Here is a 21,761-nt window from a genome sequence, read left to right as displayed (position 1 = left end):
CCCACATTGAGAGTGGAACTTGCCACTGAGTCCACCAACTCACACGCCAATCTCCTGCTGCAAACCCTCACAGACACATCCAGAAATAATGCTTTCCCAGCTGTCTGGGTATTGCTGGTGTCCATGGTGGTGGGTTATCAGAACTTATTAATGTCACTGTCACTAAAGTTGGTATATAACCCCCCACTGCTAAATTTGACTAGCTTAAAAAAAAAAAGAACTTAGGCAACCTAGGGAGACCCTGTCTCTACAAAAAACACAAAAATTAGTCAGGTGTGGTGGCACATATCTGTAGTCCCAGCTACTTGGGAGGCTGAGGTGGGAGGATCTCTTGAAACCAGGAGTTTGAGGCTACAGTGAGCCGTGATGAGAGGAGCCTCAGGACTCATGGATTAGAGCAGAAGTTACATCTGTGCTGACAAGAGAATGGAATTTGACCGAGGTGCCGATGGAGGACTAGCGCTCTCTCTCCCGTCTCTCCTTCTCTCTGTGTGCTGGAGTTAGGCACCGTCCACCCCATTCCCACACACGGACAATGAGAGCTTGACAGTGTCCAAGGCAGGGGCAGTGCAGGGACCAGCCATTCACAGGTATTTGTTCCTTTCTGAGTTTCACACGTTTCCTGGCACCATCTCTGTGCCTCCGACCCAGTCCCTTCCCTCAGGAAGCTCATGGTCTGATGTGGCAGACAGACATGGACATGTGGTGGTATAGGGAAGCATCCAGGTCTCTGTGGGAGCGTAGAGACAGGGTCACTACCCCAGCCAGGTGGGAGAGGTCACAGAAGGCTTCCTGGAGGAGTGAACAGAAGCTTTCCAGATGGACACGTGAGGCATCTGAGTAACACTAGCAGGTATGACGGCCAAGCGCTTTCCTCTCCAGTCATCCCCCAAATCAGCTGAAGCCCTTCTATCGCCAGGTTAGTTGCTGCCTGTCTTGAAGTACCTGCCACACCGCCGGCCCAACCCTTTATTCAGAGTCTCACTCCTACAGCCCTGGGTAAGGTTCAGTCCCCAGATTGTCTCCTGTTTCTCCACCAGCCGGTCTGGCAGCTACCAGAGAAGGTCCCAGAGTTCCCTGCAGATGGGATTGACAGGAATCTTGGTTACACTGAAAGCACACATGGCCAACATCCTCAGGATGGGCAGAGGCAGCAGGCGAGGCTGTCCCGTGTCTCATGCATCAAAGGAGGCCTGGACCATCTGGAAAGGCCCTCACCACGAGGAACCAGAGCAGCAGCAGCAAAGACCAGACTGCAGAGAGGGGGCTCTGACCCATGGCTGCAGGGAAAACAGGCAGAGAGGTTGGGGGAGAGAGAGAGAAAAAAAGAGGTATTTAGGAGCACAGGAGCAAAAGTGGGGACATGCAGATACAAGGTGGAGAGATTGGCAGAGTGAGCTGGACAGACTGATACACAAAACTGCCACGGGCAACAGAGATGAAGATCAAGTTTAGGGAGGAGCTGGTCCAATGGTAATGGGTTATCAGAACTTATTAACACCAGTGTCACTAAAGTTGATGTACAGTCCCCCCACTGCTAAATTTGACTGGCTTAAAAAATTTTAGGCAACCTGGGCAACATAGGGAGAACCCTTCTCTACAAAAAATACAAAAAGTAGCCAGGCGTAGTGGCATATATCTGTAGTCCAAGCTACTTGGGAGGCTGAGGTGGGAGGATCGCTTGAGCCCAAGAGTTTGAGGCTACAGTGAGCTGTGGTGGTGCCACTGCACTCCAACCTGGGTGACAGACTGAGACCACGTCTCAAAAAAAAATTTTTTTAATAAAGAATTTAGGAAGGTAGACAGAGATGAGACCAATTAGAGTCCCAGTTTCTCTTCCAGAGGTCATTGGGTCTAACTTAACTGCCTTCTATTGCCACAAATAAGGTGCTGCAGAGTGGGATGAAACATGGATTTAAGATCAGAGTGGGATCTGCTGTGGCTGAACTTGGCTCCTCTACCCAAACCCTGGTAGGAGAGGTGTGGAGTGGACTAGAAGGAGAAATCCTAAACTTTTCCAGTATCTGGAATTACATAATCAGAACTCAAAGATGCCTGGGTTGGAAGCTGGAAACCTGGCTTCTTGTCCTGGCTCTGCCATAAACTCATTGTCACCTTGAGCAAATAATTTGTCTCTGGGTCTCACTTGACCATATAAGGGGGGTAATGCCTCCTGTTCTGCCTCCTTCCCATAGATTACTGTGCAGTAAAGATGAGATGAGATGATGATGAGATGAGATGAGATGAGATGAGATGAGATGAGATGAGATGAGATGAGATGATGAGATGAGATGATGAGATGAGATGAGATGAGATGAGATGAGATGAGATGAGATGATGAGATGAGATGAGATGATGAGATGAGATGATGTCTGGGGAGGGGTGGGAACTATCCTGGTGTGGTGGTTCAGAGTTTGGCTCTTGAGCCAGGCTCTCTGGACTCCACTTCTTAGTAGCTGGGTGGCACAGGGCCAGTTGCTTCTCCTCTGCACCTTTGATTTTTTTTGTTTTTGTTTTGTTTTGTTTTGAGACAGAGTTTCGCTCTTGTTGCCCAGGCTGGAGTGCAATGGCACAATCATGGCTCACAGCAACCTCCGCCTCCCAGGTTCAAGAGATTCTCCTGCCTCAGTCTCCCGAGTAGCTGGGATTACAGGCATGCGCCACCACGCCCGGCTAATTTTGTATTTTTAGTAGAGACGGGGTTTCTCCATGTTGGTCAGGCTGGTCTCGAACTCCTGACCTCAGGTGATCTGCCCATCTTGGCCTCCCAAAGTGCTGGGATTACAGGCGTGAGCCACCACACCCGGCCTCTCTTTGCCCCTTTGTGCTTTGGTACTTTCATCTGCAGAACAGAGGTGATGACAGTACCACTGGGGTGTGGTGAGGATGAATGGCATGATGTGCCTGGAGTGGATCAGAGGAAGCTGGGGGGTCCTTCCTGCCCACTCACAGAGTTCTGAAGGACAAAGGAGTTCTGAAGGCTTGGGGAGGAGCTGCTGTTTCTTCCCTGGAAATGGCCCATTCCCACCTAGAAACATGGTGGCCTGGGTAGGCCTTGGCACACCAAGTGTCCGAGGGAAGAGAAGAGTCATAGCTGGGGATCATCTGGTCCAATTTGCTTATTATACACACAGAGAAACTGAGGCACAGAGAAAGAATGGGTTGGTCGTAGAGAAAGTTAGAGCAGAGCCTGGACTAGAGCCCAGGCCTCCAGCACCAAAAGCCTGGCCTCATGGCCTTCAAAGGTGGGTTTGAGGGAGCCCTGAGGGCAGTAACAGAGACAGTGGGTTCTGCACTGGGAGGCAGAGAAGGACCAAAGGAGGACTTTGTGGGGAGCAGCCCTTCTGTCCCTCACCTCAGTGCAGCCTGAATCTCTCAGGGGCCTGATCAGTGGCCTTTTCCTGCAAGGGATAGGCAGATCCAGGCTGGAGAGCAGGTGTCCCTGCTCCCTCAACCATCTGCTCTCCCACACACTCATCTCCTGGCTAAGGCTGGCAACCCCCAAGGTGCCACTTCAGCTAGTGCACTTTTTTTTATTATTAATGCAGTTGTTTCCTTATAAAAGATTCAGGTGGGCCGGGCACGGTGGCTGACGCCTGTAATCCCAGCACTTTGGGAGGCCGAGGTGGATGGATCACCTGAGGTCAGGAGTTCAAGACCAGCCTGGCCAACATGGTGAAACCCCATCTCTACTAAAAATACAAAAAATTAGCCGGGCTTGGTGGCATGCGCCTGTAATCCCAGCTGTAATCAAGAGGCTGAGGCAGGAGAATGGCTTGAACCCGGGAAGTGGAGGTTGCAGTGAGCCGAGATTGTGCCATTGCACTCCAGCCTGGGCAACAAGAGTGAAACTCTGTCTCAAAAAAAAAAAAAAAAAAAAAGATCGAGGTGATGGGGCCAACCCCAGAGCAGCCTGCTCATCCCTGAACTGAGTCCCACAGGTGCCTGCAGCCCTTACCTGAATTATCCAGATGGCAAGGCCCAGACTTGCACTTCTTGTCTATAGAAAAGAAACAGTAAAGAATGAAAGGCTCAGGAGCTGTCAGGATGGAAAGGGACCTCAGAGCCCTGGTAGTCCATCCCTGACTTGTTCTAGGAGAAGTTGGTGCATTTCCCCCTAATTCTGCTCTTTCATGGTGGAACCTCCCTTGACTAGGTTTGCCTCGACCCATGAGCAGCAGGGCCAGAAGGGAGTGGGCCATCAGAGCCAGGGTCTACTCTGGGGCACTCCTGCTCCCTGGGCCTATAACTTTGCCTCCCTGCCACACTCACCTCTCCCTCTTCCATGCCTCGCCCCAGCCTGGTTTGTTTTCTTTGCATGCCCTCCTTACCTTCTGTCAACTCATGCATGCTCCTGATGTTGTCCAAGATAGGAAGTAAAGCCCATAGCCCTTCAGAAATTAAGAACCTGGGCCCATCCTCATGGTTCTTCTTCTGGCCTGTGCTGGGGACATGAACAGGAGGAGCATCCACCACTTCCTGACCACAGCCTGAGCTGGACCTTAGGGGCACAGCACCCAACTGCTGTCTCCTTGCCCCCACCACCCCACCCAGCACACCCTTCAGCACATAATTCCTCTTCCATCTCATAAATGCACTGTTCTCAGAAACTGAGGGTGGGACTCCTACTCATTTCTGGCAACAGCTATCTAGGTGTCAATAATCTGGCTGGAAAATAATTCCCTTCCAGCCTCTGACCAGGAGAAAAGCCCGACCGGGTCTGCTTGCCCACTCAAATGGCCAGAGACCGCTGCGTTGGCCAGGAAACCTCTTCAGCCTCCCAGCAGGCAAGTGGCGAACTATGGCTTAGATCCCTTCAGGGGCAGTAAGTGCACCCCTCAGAAGGTTATGTCTCCCCTTAGATGGAAGGGGTTGGGAGCTGGTGGATATGACTTGTATTTATGTATCCCTGGGACACAGGAGATAGGGGCTTCGGTTTGCCAAAGTCCCTGGTGGATGTGGAAGGTCCACCTTCCGCACAGGTGCCGACCAGCGCTTGCCCTCCTACCTTTGATGTACTCGCAGTTGTAGGTGCTGTGCTTGCCCAGGGCTCGGAGGTAGATGCGGGCGGGGCCCTGGGCCAGTCTGCTGGCATTGATCACTTGGAAGGTCTCAAAGGGGGGGATCAGCACCTCTTCCTCTCCAGGGAAGAAGGAGTAGCCCTTGATAGGGGCCCCAAGGCAGGTCCAGATGCCGAAGAAGGTGTCCTCACCAAACTGCTGGGCTGCAACATGCTTCAGGGAGGCAGAAGCAAAGCCCCCCAGCCTCACGGTGGCCCGGGGCCCTGCTGGCCGGAAGCGCAGGCCGTGCACACCTCGGAACACCTGGTGGCACCGGGGTGGACGCTGGCCGCTGCCCAGGAGCTGCAGGGCCTCAGTCAGCAGGAAATGGAGTGTCTTGAAGGAGAAGTGGTGGAGGTAGTGGGCCCGGGAGCGGCCCGCCTCACGCACGGCTGCATTGAACTCCTTGTGCAGGGGGCTGTTGGCTGTGTAGGCCAGGAGGGCCACCCCATGCTCATCGCGGAAGCCCAGGGGTGGCGGGGATGGACGGGTGGGGCTGAGACTCCACTCTGGCCACCTGGCCTGACGCTCCTGCCATTGGCTGCTTGCCAGTGTCCAGCTGTCTGCATACACCTGGTTGGCCTGGAACTCCGTGTGGTTGAGATCCGGGAGAGCAGCTGTCATGGCAGCAGCACAGCCAGCGTACTGGTCATCAAAGGAGGCCAGGGCCATGTCCAGCTGAATCTCTTGAGAGAAGAGGTCTCGTCGTGTGATGGGGTGGCTCTGGGCCTGAGGGGACAGGAGTAGCAGGGACTGAGAGGATAGGCCCCTGGGAGAATGAGTCCCCTGCCATCCAGCTCTCCCCTCCACTGAGAAAGGCAGGAAGGGCCCCAAACACACCTGGTGGGGAAGGGGATTGGGAACCTCTGGCTGTAATTTCCCCAAGACTAGCATCTGGAGCTGTCCCCTTGGGCTGAGTGATCCCCAGGGGAAGCGTCGGGCATTCTTTCCTCTCTCTCTTTCTCCCTCCAGGGTTCAGAAGAAGCCGATGGCTCAGTTCCCTGCTGGGGTGGGAACAGTGGGGGATGCCCATACCTGAAGTGCTTCCATGAGGCCCACAGACACAAGAAGCAGAGACATCATAGCAGGCATCTGCATGCTGGTGACCCTGGGCCAGTTGCTGTCTCTTTTTGGGTCTCAGTTTCCTCATCTGGAAAATTGCAGTGTTAATCTGTATAGTTTAATAAACATGAATCGACACTTAGTCTGTGCCATTCCTAGTGCTTGGCACTGAGAGTCATAAGACAGACATGGAGGCTCAGAAGAGAGAGGACCCTTCTTGCTGAAAGGAACATGAGTGACTTCCTGGAGGAGTGACGTGAACAGGTCTTGTAGGATGAACAGGAGACTAAGATGTCAGCAAGTGGAGACTGGGAGAGAAAAGACTGGTGTTTGGGTGGGAAAGGACTTTTGTGCAGCAGGAATGGAAAAAGCAAAGGTATTGGAGGTGGGAACTGAGGATGTAAAGAGAGAAAGACATGTCATCTAGGCTGGCAGAGCTTGCGGGGTAGGAACGTTGGGAAGATGGGCCAGTCATGAAAGGACTTGACAGCCACAGTGAGAGACCTGGGCTTCACCTCGCAGGGGTTGTGGGTTTTGGGACAGGGGCAGATCCAGGAGTGTTCAGCTGGTGGGGCCTTAGCAGGATCTCCAGGGACAGACTTAGAGCAGGGCTTGGTCCACCAGTTGCCCCCACTCCCTGCAGTCCTCTTGTGGAATGAGCCTTCGGTGCTTCCAGGGAGGGACAGATATAAACCCCGGGTGCTGGGGGAAGAGGGGATCAGAAGAGCAGGAGAAGACAGAGGATACCAGTTTCCCTAAGAGAAGCAGCAGGAACCACAAGCCTTCCACACCCTCTTTGCTGGGGGACAGGCGGAGTGCCCGAAGTGGTTCCAGGAAGAGGGTGTCCAGGCATTGGGTCTGGATTGGAGCAGGCAGTTTCCTTTTTTTTCTTTCTCTCTCTTTTTTTTTTTTTTTCCGAGACCAAGTCTCACTCTGTTGCCCAGGCTGGAGTGCAGTGGCGTGATCTCGGCGCACTGCATCCTCCACCTCCTGAGTTCAAGTGATTCTTTTGCCTCAGCCTCCGGAGTAGCTGGGACTAGAGGTGCCCGCCTCCACACCCAGCTAATTTTTGTATTTTTAGTAAAGACGGGGTTTCACCATGCTGGCCAGGATGGTCTCGAACTCCTGACCTCAGGTGATCCGCCCGCCTCAGCCTCCCAAAATGTTGGGATTACAGGTGTGAGCCACCATGCCGGCCTTATTGTCATTTTTTTAAGAACTGAAAGGAAACATGCTTACACATACACATTTTATTACCTTTTTTCCTCAGAAAAAAAATATTAACTTCCTTCCATGTCAGTACATAAATATCTCCCTGCTCACATAATGGCAGCTTGGTTTATCTCATGGTATAAACCATAATTAACCATTTCATACTTATGAACACTTAGGTTTCTTCCCTAATTTTAAAATATTATACATAATACTACAGTGAATATTTAGGTATATAAATCCTTCTCTATGTGTGTGCATGTTTTTATAGGAAAGATTTTGAGAAGTAAAATGAGATTTAAAGAATATGAATATTTTTTATTTTGACAGAAACTGCCACCCCACCAACAATGGATGAGAGTGCCCTTTATTCCACATCTTTGCCAGTGCTGAATATGATTGATCTCTTTTTAATTTCCATTTAACTGGTAGGAAAAATGGTATCTACTTTGTTTGTTTGTTTGAGGCAGGGTCTTGCTCTGTTGCCCAGGCTGGAGTGCAGTGGCACAATCATAGCTCACTGCAGCCTTGACCTCCTGAGCTCAATCGATCCTCCTGCCTCAGCCTCCCGAGTAGCTGGGAGTACAGGCACACATCACGATGCCTGGCTTATTTTTATATTTTTTGTAGAGGTGGGGTTTTGCCGTGTTGCCCAGGCTGATCTCGAATTCCTGGGCTCAAGCATTCTACCCACCTTGGCCTCCCAAAGTGCTGGGATTACAGGCGTGAGCCACAGCTCCCAGCCTCTGTTTTCTTTCTGTACACAAATGGTAATATAGTCAATGGGTCTTTATGTTTTGGAATCTGATAAAAGCTGAAACCTCCCTTCAGAAAATGAATATATGCGCCTTCACACAAATGTTACATAAATATCAAGGTGGTTATGCCTCTGCCCCCAATCTCATTTAGGTTAAGCGTCGCTGCTTTATCATCTCCTCTGGCTCTGGGGAGACCTAAGTTTGGATAGTTCAGTGACTCTAAGACACTGGGATTCTATGTGTCTATAATTTCATTAATCTTCAAATCTAAGATCCTATAATTGCCAATACACAATTTAAATGTGAAGTATGAGCTTCTCTGGACAATGGGGTTAGCAGTAGTTTTTACCAAATTCCACATGTCCAAAATGGAGCTCATTATCTTCTCCCCCTCAAAAGCTGCTTACTCATTTATTCAACAATTTTTTTTGTTATTGTTGTTTAGCATCTGTAGCATGTCAGGCATTAAGGATAAAATTATGAACAACAGCCAGCCATGGTGGCTCCAGCCTGTAATCCCAGCACTTTGGGAGACTGAGGCGGGAGGATTACTTGAGCCCAGGAGTTTGAAACGAGCCTGGGCAACATTGTGAGACACCATTGCTACTAAAAATAAAAAAATACATCCGGACAACTCCGGGAGGCTGAGGTGGGCGGATCACCTGAAGTCAGGAGTTCAAGACCAGCCTGGCCAACGTGGTGAAACCCCATCTCCACAAAAATACAAAAATTAGCTGGGCATGATGGCAGGTGCCTATAATCCCAGCTACTCGGGAGGCTGAGGCAGGAGAATAGCTTGAACCCAGGAAGCGGAGGTTGCAGTGAGCCAAGATTGCGCCATTGCACTCAAGCCTGGGTGACAGAGCGAGACTCCGTCTCAAAAATTTAAAAAATAAATAAATAAATAAATAAATAAATAAATAAGCCAGGCTACAGGTGTGGTGGTGCATATCTGTAGTCCCAACAACTCGGCAGGCTGAAGGTAGGAGGATTGCTTGAGACCAGGAGGTTGAGTCTGCAGTGAGCTATGAAAACCCACTTCCCTGGGCCGGGCGCGGTGGCTCACGCTTGTAATCCCAGCACTCTGGGAGGCCAAGGCGGGTGGATCACCTGAGGTCAGGAGTTTGAAACCAGACTGGCCAACATGGTGAAACCCCATCTCTACTAAAATTACAAAAAATTAGCTGGGCGTGGTGTTGTGCGCTTGTAATCCCAACTACTCGGGAAGCTGAGGCAGAAGAATCTCTTGAACCTGGGAGGTGGAGGTTGCAGTGACCCGAGATCGCACCATTGCTCTCTAGCCTGGGCGACAAGAGTGAAACTCTGTCTCAAAAAAAAAAAAAAAAAAAAAGACTTGAGCTCTTGTCTGTGGTCTCTTGAAGTCCAGCAAGGAGGCTAGAGCTGCTGTTACTAGTTCCTCACTTTCCTGTGTAGAATCCAGTCATGGGCTCAGGTGGGGCTTTTCTCATTCTATGCACCCCATGAGAGGAACACATGCCCCAGGACTGGTGCCCTAAGGCTTTGACCATTGTGACTGGCTCATGGATGGGCACATGACCCAAGAAGGCCAATCAGAGGCCTTCCTGCGAGTTGATCTATGGATGCAGGGTAAAAGAGAGTGTACCTGACACTGTGGATTCCTCAGCCCATATTCCCGGAGACTGTCTTCGAGTCCACATGCAGGTACAGTGGATAGTTCTCATGCAGGCTGTCAGCCTCCCACTTCTAGGGCTCACATTTTTCTGTCTCTGAAGCATTCTCCATCACCCTGGGAGCCTGTTTTTTGTGAGCACAGGGCAGGCCAAAAGTGTAAGGGATTTAATATTCTCAAGGACAGCCTTCAACCAATGAGGGCTGGAAGTCAGACTTCCTGTCCCATAGAGGGTCCCCAGTGGGACTAGTTGATCACAGTGGTAACAGGCTTTTAATTGGCTGCTTTTCTCTTCTCTGTCTGACTTTGCCGCTCCCTGACTTGTATTTCTTGGGATCACTTTACAAAGAAGCTCACTGCACCCATGTACTTGTCTGTGGGTCTGCTTTTGGGGGAAGGAAACTGAGAGTCTTTTCTTTGGAAGATTCTTCTTTAGTCTGGACCCCCAGAATGAACACGTGAGGAACAGACCTGAGCCCAGCCCAGAGCAAGGAAGACCCCAGCTGAGCCAGACCGGCGGCCTGAGCAGAGCTGCCCAACCAAGTCCAGTTTAGATAAGCCACTTGCCGTCAACCCAAAGACCATGAGCCTGGGAGTAAATGTTTGTTTGCCACTGAGATTTTGTGGCACACGGCAAAATAGTTATGCAGCAAAAGCCCACTGGGCCAGCTGTATCTCTCATTGTGTCTCCACAGCTCTGTTTCTGTCTGCATCTGCTCTACAATAAACAAGATACATCAGAGGCTTGAGGGGAGGAGAGGCTTGAAGGCAGACTGAGGACATGGAATTAGTGGACCTGAGTAAGAGAATGGCAGTGAGGACAGACAGAGGTAGGAGGTGGAATTTACAAGACTTGATGTCTGATGGGAGAATGGCAGTGAGGATAGACAGAGGTAGGAGGTGGAATTTACAAGACTTGATGTCTGATGGGAGAATGGCAGTGAGGATAGACAGAGGTAGGAGGTGGAATTTACAAGACTTGATGTCTGATGGGAGAATGGCAGTGAGGATAGACAGAGGTAGGAGGTGGAATTTACAAGACTTGATGTCTGATGGGAGAATGGCAGTGAGGACAGACAGAGGTAGGAGGTGGAATTTACAAGACTTGATGTCTGATGGGAGAATGGCAGTGAGGACAGACAGAGGTAGGAGGTGGAATTTACAAGACTTGATGTCTGATGGGAGAATGGCAGTGAGGATAGACAGAGGTAGGAGGTGGAATTTACAAGACTTGATGTCTGATGGGAGAATGGCAGTGAGGACAGACAGAGGTAGGAGGTGGAATTTACAAGACTTGATGTCTGATGGGAGAATGGCAGTGAGGATAGACAGAGGTAGGAGGTGGAATTTACAAGACTTGATGTCTGATGGGAGAATGGCAGTGAGGATAGACAGAGGTAGGAGGTGGAATTTACAAGACTTGATGTCTGATGGGAGAATGGCAGTGAGGATAGACAGAGGTAGGAGGTGGAATTTACAAGACTTGATGTCTGATGGGAGAATGGCAGTGAGGATAGACAGAGGTAGGAGTTGGAATTTACAAAACTTGATGTCTGATGGGAGAATGGCAGTGAGTACAGACAGAGGTAGGAGGTGGAATTTACAAGACTTGATGTCTGATGGGAGAATGGCAGTGAGGACAGACAGAGGTAGGAGGTGGAATTTACAAGACTTGATGTCTGATGGGAGAATGGCAGTGAGGATAGACAGAGGTAGGAGGTGGAATTTACAAGACTTGATGTCTGATGGGAGAATGGCAGTGAGGATAGACAGAGGTAGGAGGTGGAATTTACAAGACTTGATGTCTGATGGGAGAATGGCAGTGAGGATAGACAGAGGTAGGAGGTGGAATTTACAAGACTTGATGTCTGATGGGCTATAGGGGACGTGAGAGAGGGAAAAATCAAGGATGACACCCAGGTTTCCATTCTTTAAACTAGAAACACAGAGGAGAAGCGGAGTAGATTTAAAAAAAATACGAAGCTCCTCTTTTCATGCGCGTCCGTGTGAAGAGACCACCAAACAGGCTTTGTGTGAGCAATAAAGCTTTTAATCACCTGAGTGCAGGTGGACTGAGTCCGAAAAGAGAGTCAGCGAAGGGAGATAAGGGTGGGTCCGTTTTATAGGATTTGGGTAGATAAAGGAAAATTACAGTCAAAGGGGGGTTGTTCTCTGGCAGTCAGAGTGGGGGTCACAAGGTGCGCAGTAGAGGAGCTTTTGAGCCAGGATGAGCCAGGAGAAGGAATTTCACAAGACAATGTCATCAGTTAAGGCAGGAACCGGCCATTTTCACTTCTTTTGTGGTGGAATGTCATCAGTTAAGGCAGGAACCGGCCATCTGGATGTGTATGTGCAGGTCACAGGGGACATGATGGCTTAGCTTCGGCTCAGAGGCCTGACATTCCTGTCTTCTTATATTAATAAGAAAAATAAAATGAAATAGTGGTAAAGTGTTGGGACGGTGAAAATTTTTGGGGGTGGTGTGGAGAGATAATGGGCGATGTTTCTCAGGGCTGCTTTGATTAGGGGCAGCGTGGGAACCTCGAGTGGGAGAGATTAAGCTGAACGAAGATTTTGTGGTAAGGGGTGATATTGTGGGGTTGTTAGAAGAAACATTTGTCGTGTAGAATTATTGGTGATGGCCTGGATATGGCTTTGTATGAATTGAAAAACTAAATGGAATAAGAGAAGGAGAAAAACAGGTATAAAAGGTCTAAGAATTGGGAGGACCTAGGACATCTGATTAGAGAGTGCCTAAGGAGATTCAACATAGTCCTGCCAGCAAAGATTATTTATTTACTTCAAGAGTTTAGAGTGGCAGTTTGGGGATAGCACCAGGAGATATCAGCTGTGATGGCTTGGAGAAACAGTGTAAACCGGCAGTGTAAACAAGAGCAGGACATGTATGAGTAGTTGAGAATGGTGAATAGGAGTATGACTAGACAGAAGATAGTAGGGATGACAAGTTCTTTTGGGGCACAGTCTAAGTTGGTCTGGTGTCTGGAATTAGACTGGGGCCTAATAAAAAGGAGCGTCTATACAGGAGCTCAAATGGGCTGTATCTTGTAGCATTCTGAGGACACGTCTGACTTCTGAGAAGGGAAAGTGGTAGAAGTATTATCCAGTCCTTTTTAAGTTGGTGGCTGAGCTTGATGAGGTGTGTTTTTAAAAGACCTTTAGTCCGTTCTACTTTTCCTGAAGACAGAGGACCGTAAGGGATATAAAGGTTTCACTGAATACTAAGAGCCTGAAAAACTGCTTGGCTGATTTGACTAGTAAAGGCTGGTCTGTTTTCAGACTGTATAGAGGTGGGAAGGCTAAACTGAGGAATTATGTCTGACAGAAGGGAAGAAATGACTGCGGTGGCCTTCTCAGACCTTGTAGGAAAGGCCTGTACCTATCCAGTGAAAGTGTCTACCTAGACTAAGAGGTATTTTAGTTATCTGACTCAGGGCATGTTGAGTAAAGCTAATTTGCCCGTCCTGGGTGGGGGCAAATCCTCGAGCTTGATGTGTAGGGAAGGGAGGGGGCCTGAATGATCCCTGAGGAGTAGCAGAATAGCAGATGGAACACTGAGAAGTTATTTCCTTGAGGATAGATTTCCACGATGGAAAGGAAATGAGAGGTTCTAAGAGGCGGGCTGGTGGCTTGTTCTATAGCATAGCCTGCCTTTGCTGGTGTGTGGCGATTAAGCCTGGTGGAGCTGCCATCAATAAATCAAGCGTGATCAGGGTGAGGAACAGGAAAGAAGGAAATATGGGGAAATGGGGTGAATGTCAGGTGGATCAGAGACATACAGTCATGGGGGTCAGGTGTGGTATCAGGAATAATGTGGGAGGCCGGATTGAAGTCCGGGCCAGGAACAATGGTAATTGTGGGACTTAACATAGAGTGAGTACAGCTGAAGGAGCTGGGGGATCAGAAAGTATATGCATCAGGTATGAGGAAGAAAATAGATTTTAGAAGTTATGAGAAATGTGAAGAGTGAGCTAAGCATAGTTTGTGATTTTTAGGGCCTCTAAAACTATTAAAGCAGCGGCAGCCGCTGCACGCAGACATGAGGGCTAGGCTAAAACGTAAGGGCAAGTTGTTTGGACAGAAAGGCTATAGGATGCGGTCCTGGCTCTTGTGTAAGAATTCTGACTGCACTAACCATGACTAGGAAGGAAAGGAGTTGTTTTGGAAGGGATTGAGGTTTGGGAGATTAATCAGACACTATCAGCAGGGAGAGCACGTGTGTTTTTATGAGAATTATGCCAAGATAGGTAACAGATGAGGATGAAATTTGGGCTTGACTGAAGTAATGGGGGCTGTCTGTGAAGCCTTGCGGCAGTACAGCCCAGGTAATTTGCTGAGCCTAATGGGTGTCAGGGTCAGTCTAAGTGAAAGCAAAGAGAGGCTGGGATGAAGGGTGAAAAGGAATAGTAAAGAAAGCATGTTTGAGACCCAGAACAGAATAATGGGTTGTAGAGGGAGGAATTGAGGATAGGAGAGTATATGGGTTTGGCACCACAGGGTGGATAGGCAAAACAATTTGGTTGATAAGGCGCGGATTCTGAACTAACCTGTAAGCCTTGTCTGGTTTTAGGACGGATAAAATGGGGGAATGGTAAGGAGAGTTTATAGGCTTTAAAAGGCCATGCTGTAACAGGCAAGTAATAACAGGCTTTAATCCTTTCAAAGCATGCTGTGGGATGGGATACTGGCATTGAGCGGGGTAAGAGTGATTAGGTTTTAATGGGATGGTAAGGGGTGCATGATCGGTCGCGAAGGAGGAAGTAGAGGTGCCTTATACTTGTGGATTAAGGTGGGGAGATACAAGGGGAGGATGTGAAGGAGGCTTTGAACTGGGGGAAAAGGTGGCAATGAGGTGTGGCTGTAGCCCAGGAATAGTCAGGGAAGCAGATAATTTAGTTAAAGTGTCTCTGCCTAATAAGGGAACTGGGCAGGTGGGGATAATGAAAAAGGAGTGCTTAAAAGAGTATTGTCTAAGTTGGCACTAGAGTTGGGGAGTTTTAAGAGGCTTAGAAGCCTGGCTGTCAATACCCACAACAGTTATGGAAGCAAGGGAAACAAGCCCTTGAAAAGAAGGTAATGTGGAGTGGGTAGCCTCCATATTGATTAAGAAGGGGACGGACTTACTTTCCACTGTGAGAGTTACTCAAAGCTCGGAGTCCCTGATGGTCTAGGGGGCTTCCGAGGCAATCGGGGAATGTCAGTCTTCAGCTGCTAAGCCGAGAAGATCTGGGAAGGAGTCAGTCAGGGAGCCTTGGGCCAGAGTTCCAGGGGCTCTGGGAGTGGCTGCCAGGTGAGTTGAACAGTCCGATTTTCAGTGGGGTCCCACACAGATGGGATACGGCTTAGGAGGAATCCTGGGCTGTGGGTATTCCTTGGCCCAGTGGCCAGATTTCCGGCACTTGTAGCAAGCTCCTGGGGGAGGAGGTTCTGGAGGAACCCCTGGCAGCTGCAGTTCAGGCGTGTGGAAGTTCTTGTGTGCCGGAGATGTGGCTGGTGTTTGTCTCACAGTGGAGACAAGTAGTTGCAACTCAGAAATACATTGCTACTTGGCTGCCTCTATTCTATTATTGTATACCTTGAAGGTGAGGTTAATTAAGTCCTGTTGTGGGGTTTAAGGGCCGGAATTTAATTTTTGGAGTTTTATTTAATGTCAGGAGCAGATTGGGTAATAAAATGTATATTGAGAATAAAGTGGCCTTTTGACATTTTAGGGTCTAGGGCTGTAAAGCGTCTCAGGGTTGCTGCCGAACGAGCCATGAACTGGGCGGGGTTTTTCTTATTTGATGAAAAAGCCTAAACGCTCTGATTCGGGAGAGGTCGGATAAAGAAAAAGGAGCATTAACCTTGACTACGCCTTTAGCTTCAGCCACCTTTTTAAGAGGAAATTGCTGGGCAGGTTGGGGAGGGCTAGTCATGAAATGAAATGGTAAACCAGACCGGGTGTGAGGAGGGGAGGTGATAAAAAGATTACAGGGTGGAGGAGCTGAGGCTGAGGAAGAATTGGGACCTAGCTCAGCCTGGCGAGGAGCAGCCTGGGGAGGAGGGGAGACGTCAGACGGGTCTGTAGAAAAGGAAGATTAGAAAGACTCAGCGACACTTGGGGTTGGGACTGAGGGGACAGGCGGGAGGGAAAGAAGGAAGATTTGGGACAAGTTGCATTGGGCAGAGACTAGGGAGGGACTGATGTGTAAAAGAATGCCTTGACGTCAGGCACCTCAGACCGTTTGTCCATTTTACGACAAGAATTATTTAGATCTTGCAGGATGGAAAAATTGAAAGTGCCGTTTTCTGGCTATTTGGAACCACTGTCGAGTTTGTATTGGGGTCAAGCAGCCTTGCAGAAGAAAATAAGGCATTTAGGTTTTAGGTCAGGTGTGAGTTGAAGAGGTTTTAAGTTCTTGAGAGCACAGGCTAAGGGAGACGGAGGAACGGAGGGTGGAAGGTTGCCCGTAGTGAAGGAGGCAAGCCCAGAGAAAAGAGAGAGTAGAGAAACGGAGGGAAGGGGTTCAGGGGTTCTTACCCTCCAGAAAAGCGGGAAAGGGGTCAGGGCGTGGAAATAAGGGGTTTGGGCGCAGAGATAAGAGGTCGGGGCACGGAAATAAGGGATGGGGCACAGAGATAAGAGGTCGGGGCGTGGAAATAAGGGATTGGGGCACAGAGGTAAGAGGTTGGGGTGTGGAAATAAGGGATTGGGGGTTCTTTCCTCCTAGAAAAGCGGGACTTGCCGCTAAGGGTGAAGGAGAAGGGGTTGAGGAGTTTTTGCCCCTCCCCCAGAAAAGCAGAGAAGGGGTAGAGACACAGAGAAAAGGGGTTGGGGTACTTACCCCTCCTCCAGAAAAGCGGGACTTGCCGCTAAGGGTGAAGGACCAAGGCAGGCGTCCCTGCATGATCTGACACCTCTGAAACGTGGGTGAATAATCAGAGAGGTGTCCCTGCAATGATTAAACACCAAGGGAAGGCTGCCTTCCCAGTCCGTGACCGGCGCCGGAGTTTTGGGTCCACAGATAAAACGTGTCTCCTTTGTCTCTACCAGAAAATGAAAGGAATTGAAATTAAGAGAATGGAGAGATTGAAGTGTGGCGCCAAGATTGAAAGGGGAAAGAGGTTGAGGGATAGTGAGGGAGGTTGGAGAAGTGAGTAAAAAGAGTCTGCTTACTGGATTTGAAATTGGTGAGATATTTCTTGCGCTGGTCGGTCTGAGGACCTGAGGTTGTAGGTGGGTCTTTCTCACAGAGCAAAGAGCAGGAGGACAGGGGATTGATCTCCTAAGGGAGGTCCCCCGATCTGAGTCAGGGCACCAAATTTCATGCGCGTCCGTGTGAAGACACCACCAAACAGGCTTTGTGTGAGCAATAAAGCTTTTAATCACCTGGGTGCAGGTGGACTGAGTCCGAAAAGAGAGTCAGCGAAGGGAGATAAGGGTGGGGCCGTTTTATAGGATTTGGGTAGGTAAAGGAAAATTACAGTCAAAGGGGGGTTGTTCTCTGGCAGGCAGAGTGGGGGTCACAAGGTGCTCAGTAGGGGAGCTTTTGAGCCAGGATGAGCCAGGAGAAGGAATTTCACAAGACAATGTCATCAGTTAAGGCAGGAACCGGCCATCTGGATGTGTTTGTGCAGGTCACAGGGGATATGATGGCTTAGCTTCGGCTCAGAGGCCTGACACCTCTTTTATTGCCCATCTTCTTTTATTGCCCTCTATCTTCTTCCACCATTCTTACATGACTGCAGAGTGTCCTGCTCCAGCACAGCCCTGTGCAACTTTACTTTTTTTTTTTTCAGCCTCATTGAAGTATAATTGGTATACAAAAAACTGCACATAATTAATATATACAATTTGGTGAGTTTGGAAATAAGTATACACTCATGTTACCATTCCCACAATCAAGGGAATAAACATGTTCATCACTTCCAAGTTTCTGTGTATCCCTTTGTTTTCATTTTATTTTTATTTTTATTTATATATTATTTATTTATTTTGAGACAGGGTCTCACTCTGTCGCCCAGGCTGGAGTGCAGTGGTGCAATCTCGGCTCACTTCAACCTCTACCTCCCGGGTTCAAGTGATTCTCCCACCTCAACTTCCCAAGTAGCTGGTACTACAGGTGCCCACAAGCACGCCCAGCTAATTTTTGTATTTAGTTGAGAAGGGGTTTTGCCATGTTGACCAAGCTGTTCTGGAACTCCTGACCTCAGGTGATCCACCTGCCCAGGCCTTTCAAAGTGCTGGGATTATAGGCCTGAGCCACCGCACCCAGCCTCGTTTTTTTTTTTGTTTTGTTTTGTTTTTTTTGAGACGGAGTTTTGCTCGTTGCCCAGGCTGGAGTGCAATGGTGCAATCTCGACTCACTGCAACCTCTGCCTCCCGGGTTCAAGCAATTCTCCGCCTCAGCCTCCCCAGTAGTTGCGATTACAGGCATGTGCCATCATGCCTGGCTAATTTTATATTTTTAGTAGAAATGGGGTTTCTCCACGTTGGTCAGGCTGGTCTCAAATTCCTGACCTCAGGTGATCCGCTGCCCGCCTCGGCCTCCTAAAGTGCTGGGATTACAGGCATAAGCCACCGTGCCTGGCCTGTTTTTATTTTTATTTTGTTTTGTTTTGTTTTTGGTTTTCATGTAGCAAGAACATTTAATGTGAGATGTACCCTCTTTACACATGTTTAAGTGCACAGTGCCTTATTGTTACTATAGGCACAATGTTATACCAGAGTAGACTTGAAAAGCTCATCTTGCTCATTATTGTAGTCCCAGTACAAAGCAGGTGCTCAGTAAAAATGTATTGAATGAATGATCGGGTTTGGAGGGGAAATGGTGAGTTCACTTTGGGAAATGTGAACTCCCTGAAGCAGATGTCCAAGAGGTAGCAGAATGGACAATCAAGGAGACATCTGAGAGTCACAGGTGATTGAAATCAGGGAAGAGATGAGATCCCCAGAGCAAGGGAAAGAGAAGGCTGAAAGGCAGAGGGTGAGCTGCTTGATTGATGAAGCCAGAGGTCAGGTGGAGCCGCACTCCTCCTTGGCTTTCTAGAGGCTCTTTGCATCTGGTCCTTGGGTTCCATGAGATACCCTGGTATCCTTGTGATAAAATCCTCTTTAGGCTTAATCTAGCTCAGGGTGGCTCCTGTTAATTTGCCATGGCAAGTCTCACGTGATAAACCATCCCCATTATTCACCCAGTCACCCATGATGGTCCCCTGGGTGTCCATTCAGTCAATCATTCGTCAAACATTCACATAGTTGCCAACTAATGCTGGGTGAGATAGGGGTCCATCCTAGATTCTCCTTCCCTTCAACATCCACACCCCCTGCCCTGGCTCAGGTTTGCCCCTTCCTCCTCGCTGATCTCCCCGCCTCCACAGTCAGCCCCAATATCCTGCCTGCCCAGGGAGAGCAATGTTTCTAAAGCGCGACTCTGGTCATGTTCCTTACATGCTTAAAAGCCCTCTGTGCCAAAACTGACTGGAAGAAATATCTCAAAATATAGAGTAAAAATGCAGAGATGAAAATCATGAGGGAAGAGATACAAACACATCTAGAAAAAAAAAACAAAACAAACAAACAAAACATCCCTCCATACCCTAAGGACAGAGGCCAGCGTCCTTATCCTGGCCCTCTGCACCCTCTGCAGGCTCGCACCTGCCACTCCTGCTTGGCTTCTGTAGTGCAGAACAACGTCGCAGGTGCGGCTCCGTGGTTACCCTCCCTGTGGCTCTGCACACATCGCCCCTCTCCTTGGGACACCCTTCTCCTGGATACCTACTCTTCAAGGCTTAACCCGAGGGCCACCTCCTCCAGGAAGCCCTCTGACTCCTCTGGGCTCTGGTATCACCCTGTGCTGTCCTCTGTCACTGTCCTTATCACACTGTGCTGCCCTTATATGTGCCTGGCTCCTCTTCTGGCCAGTGAGTTCCTTGAGGGCAGGGACCATGTATGCCAAGGCCAGGGACTGGGGAGGCCCCAGCATGTTTGCTGAGAGTCTGAGGAACTTTCTCAGCGCAGCTAACAGTGTAGACCACTGCAGAGCAGGTGGGTGGCTGGCCTTGGTGACCAGTGTCAGGGGAGATGTGGTGGGAACCGGAGGGATGGGGTGGGCATGGGCCCAAGGAGCTGGGGATGCTGAGCAATTCCTTTTCTAGCCCAAGGGAGCTGCGCTTCTGTCCTCCCTCTCATCCTGCTCGGAGCAATTCTGTCATCAGTTTCTCATCCAGGCCCTTGCTGAACATACCCTCCTGGGAATGTGACCCCAAATCTCCCCACAGGAATCCCAAACTTCCCATGGCTCCCAACCTTCCTAGGTATCCCAAACTTCATCAAAGTTTCCTGGAAACTTTTTCTCATGACTCCTAAAATTCCACCGTTCATCTCCCAAATTTCACCTCAAAACCACTTTTCCTGCCCAGCACCCAGGAGGAGAGTGGTGCACTCCTTACCTAGGCCTTGTCCTGGGTGGGGAAGCTGCTGCTGATCTCCACCATGGCCACCAGGAGAGGGGAGGACAAGTTTCTTTTTGATATTGTTAGTCCCCACCCCTTGAACCTCCCCCACACAGCTGCTCAGAAACGTGACACGCCCCCATCTATTTCTGGATGTCTCCTCAGGGCTCAGGAACACCAGCCTCTGCCCAGTCTGACCTGCCCAGTGTTCTTCTAAGGGAGGAAACCATACCTCATATTGTCTTATGTCCGATTTCTGCCTCCAAAGTAAACACTAAAAGGCAGAAATGAAATCCACAAGCAGACAGCCAGACAGCCCAGCGCCACACCCTGGGCCTGGCAGTTAAAGATTGACCCCTGACCTAATCGGTTATTTGTATAAAAAAGCACTGTGAAGATCCCTGTCCTGTTCTGTTCCCTTCTAATTACCGGTGTATGCATCCCCCAGTCACGTACCCGCTGCTTGCTCAATCGATCACGACGCTCTCACGCGGACCCCCTTAGAGTTGTGAGCCCTTAAAAGGGATAGGAATTGCTCACTCAGGGAGCTCAGCTCTTGAGACAGGAGTCTTGCCGATGCTCCCAGCTGAATAAACCCCTTCCTTCTTTAACTCAGCATCTGAGGGGTTTTGTCTGAGGCTCTTCCTGCTACATTTCCCACAAAAAAGGGAATCCCTGAAGCCAGAGAGGAGGTGGACTGAAGCACTGGGGATCCAGGCTGGGACAACTGCCTCCTCACTGGCTGTGGTCCTGTACTCTGGTCAGCCAAGGAGGAGGAAGAGAGGAGGAAGCTTCAGCACCCCGACCTCAGAGAGCGTCTCCTTAGATTTTGTACCTTTCACACAAACACTGAGACTTAGCTAAGGTGCCAGGAGAGATTCGAACTAAGGAGGCTGTATTCTGAGTCCCAGTTCCAGCTCTGACTTACCAGTGATCTTGCAGGACTTCTTAATGCTATACTTAGGATCCCTGCCCAATGACTAGTTTTTTTTTTTAGATGGAGTCTCGCTCTGTCACCAGGCTGGAGTGCAGTGGCGCAATCTTGGCTCACTGTAACCTCTGCCTCTCGGGTTCAAGCGATTCTCCTGCCTCAGCCTCCTGAATAGCTGGGACTACAGGCGCCTGCCACCACGCCCAGCTAATTTTTGTATTTTTAGTAGAGATGGGGTTTCACCATGTTGGCCAGGATGGTCTCGATCTCTTGACCTCGTGATCCGCCTGCCTCGGCCTCCCAAAGTGCTGGGATTACAGGTGTGAGCCACCGCACCCGGCCCCCAATGACTAGATTTGAATCCATCTCTTGGGGCCTTATTTTGGGTTCCAGGTCCTGGGATGGGAGAAGCAATCCCCCAAAGCCAGAGGGTGGAGAGGGACAAAGCAGTGATTCCAATACATCTGGTCTCGGGTCATCCCAGCAGGCCAAGCTGTCCTCAGGTGGTATCTTTTCAAGCAACTGCAAACACTCAACTTCCTCCAGAGAGTGGGCAGGCAGGATATATAGGCAAATGCTGTTTTTCACCATGATGGGAAACGGTAGGATGATTCCTTATTTTAGAATCTGGGAGG

General features: G+C 49.5%; 1 protein-coding gene across 3 annotated transcripts; it reads right to left on the bottom strand.

Annotated features, from left to right (window-relative positions):
- Nucleotides 1–955: 955 nt before the first annotated feature.
- On the bottom strand, nt 956–20,244 carry ART1 (ADP-ribosyltransferase 1). Of its 3 annotated transcripts, none has more exons than XM_017017763.3 (6): nt 20,193–20,244; nt 9,717–9,868; nt 6,096–6,231; nt 5,009–5,789; nt 3,959–4,000; nt 956–1,280 (listed from the first exon to the last, which is right to left on the bottom strand). In XM_017017763.3, exons 3-6 carry the CDS (start codon nt 6,156–6,158, stop codon nt 1,183–1,185), a joined length of 984 nt encoding a protein of 327 aa, XP_016873252.1. In that variant the 5' UTR covers nt 6,159–6,231; nt 9,717–9,868; nt 20,193–20,244; the 3' UTR covers nt 956–1,182. The 3 variants fall into 3 exon arrangements, with proteins under 3 accessions (XP_016873252.1, XP_011518416.1, NP_004305.2); XM_011520114.4 differs by having other exon boundaries at nt 6,096–6,210; NM_004314.3 differs by lacking the exon at nt 9,717–9,868 and having other exon boundaries at nt 6,096–6,210.
- Between the last annotated feature and the right edge of the window lie 1,517 nt (nt 20,245–21,761).

Source organism: Homo sapiens, chromosome 11 (assembly GCF_000001405.40).
Source record: "Homo sapiens chromosome 11, GRCh38.p14 Primary Assembly".
NCBI lineage: Eukaryota > Metazoa > Chordata > Mammalia > Primates > Hominidae > Homo > Homo sapiens.
The sequence above is the reverse complement of the archived record's forward strand: the minus strand, read 5'-3'. Positions and strand labels throughout refer to the sequence as shown.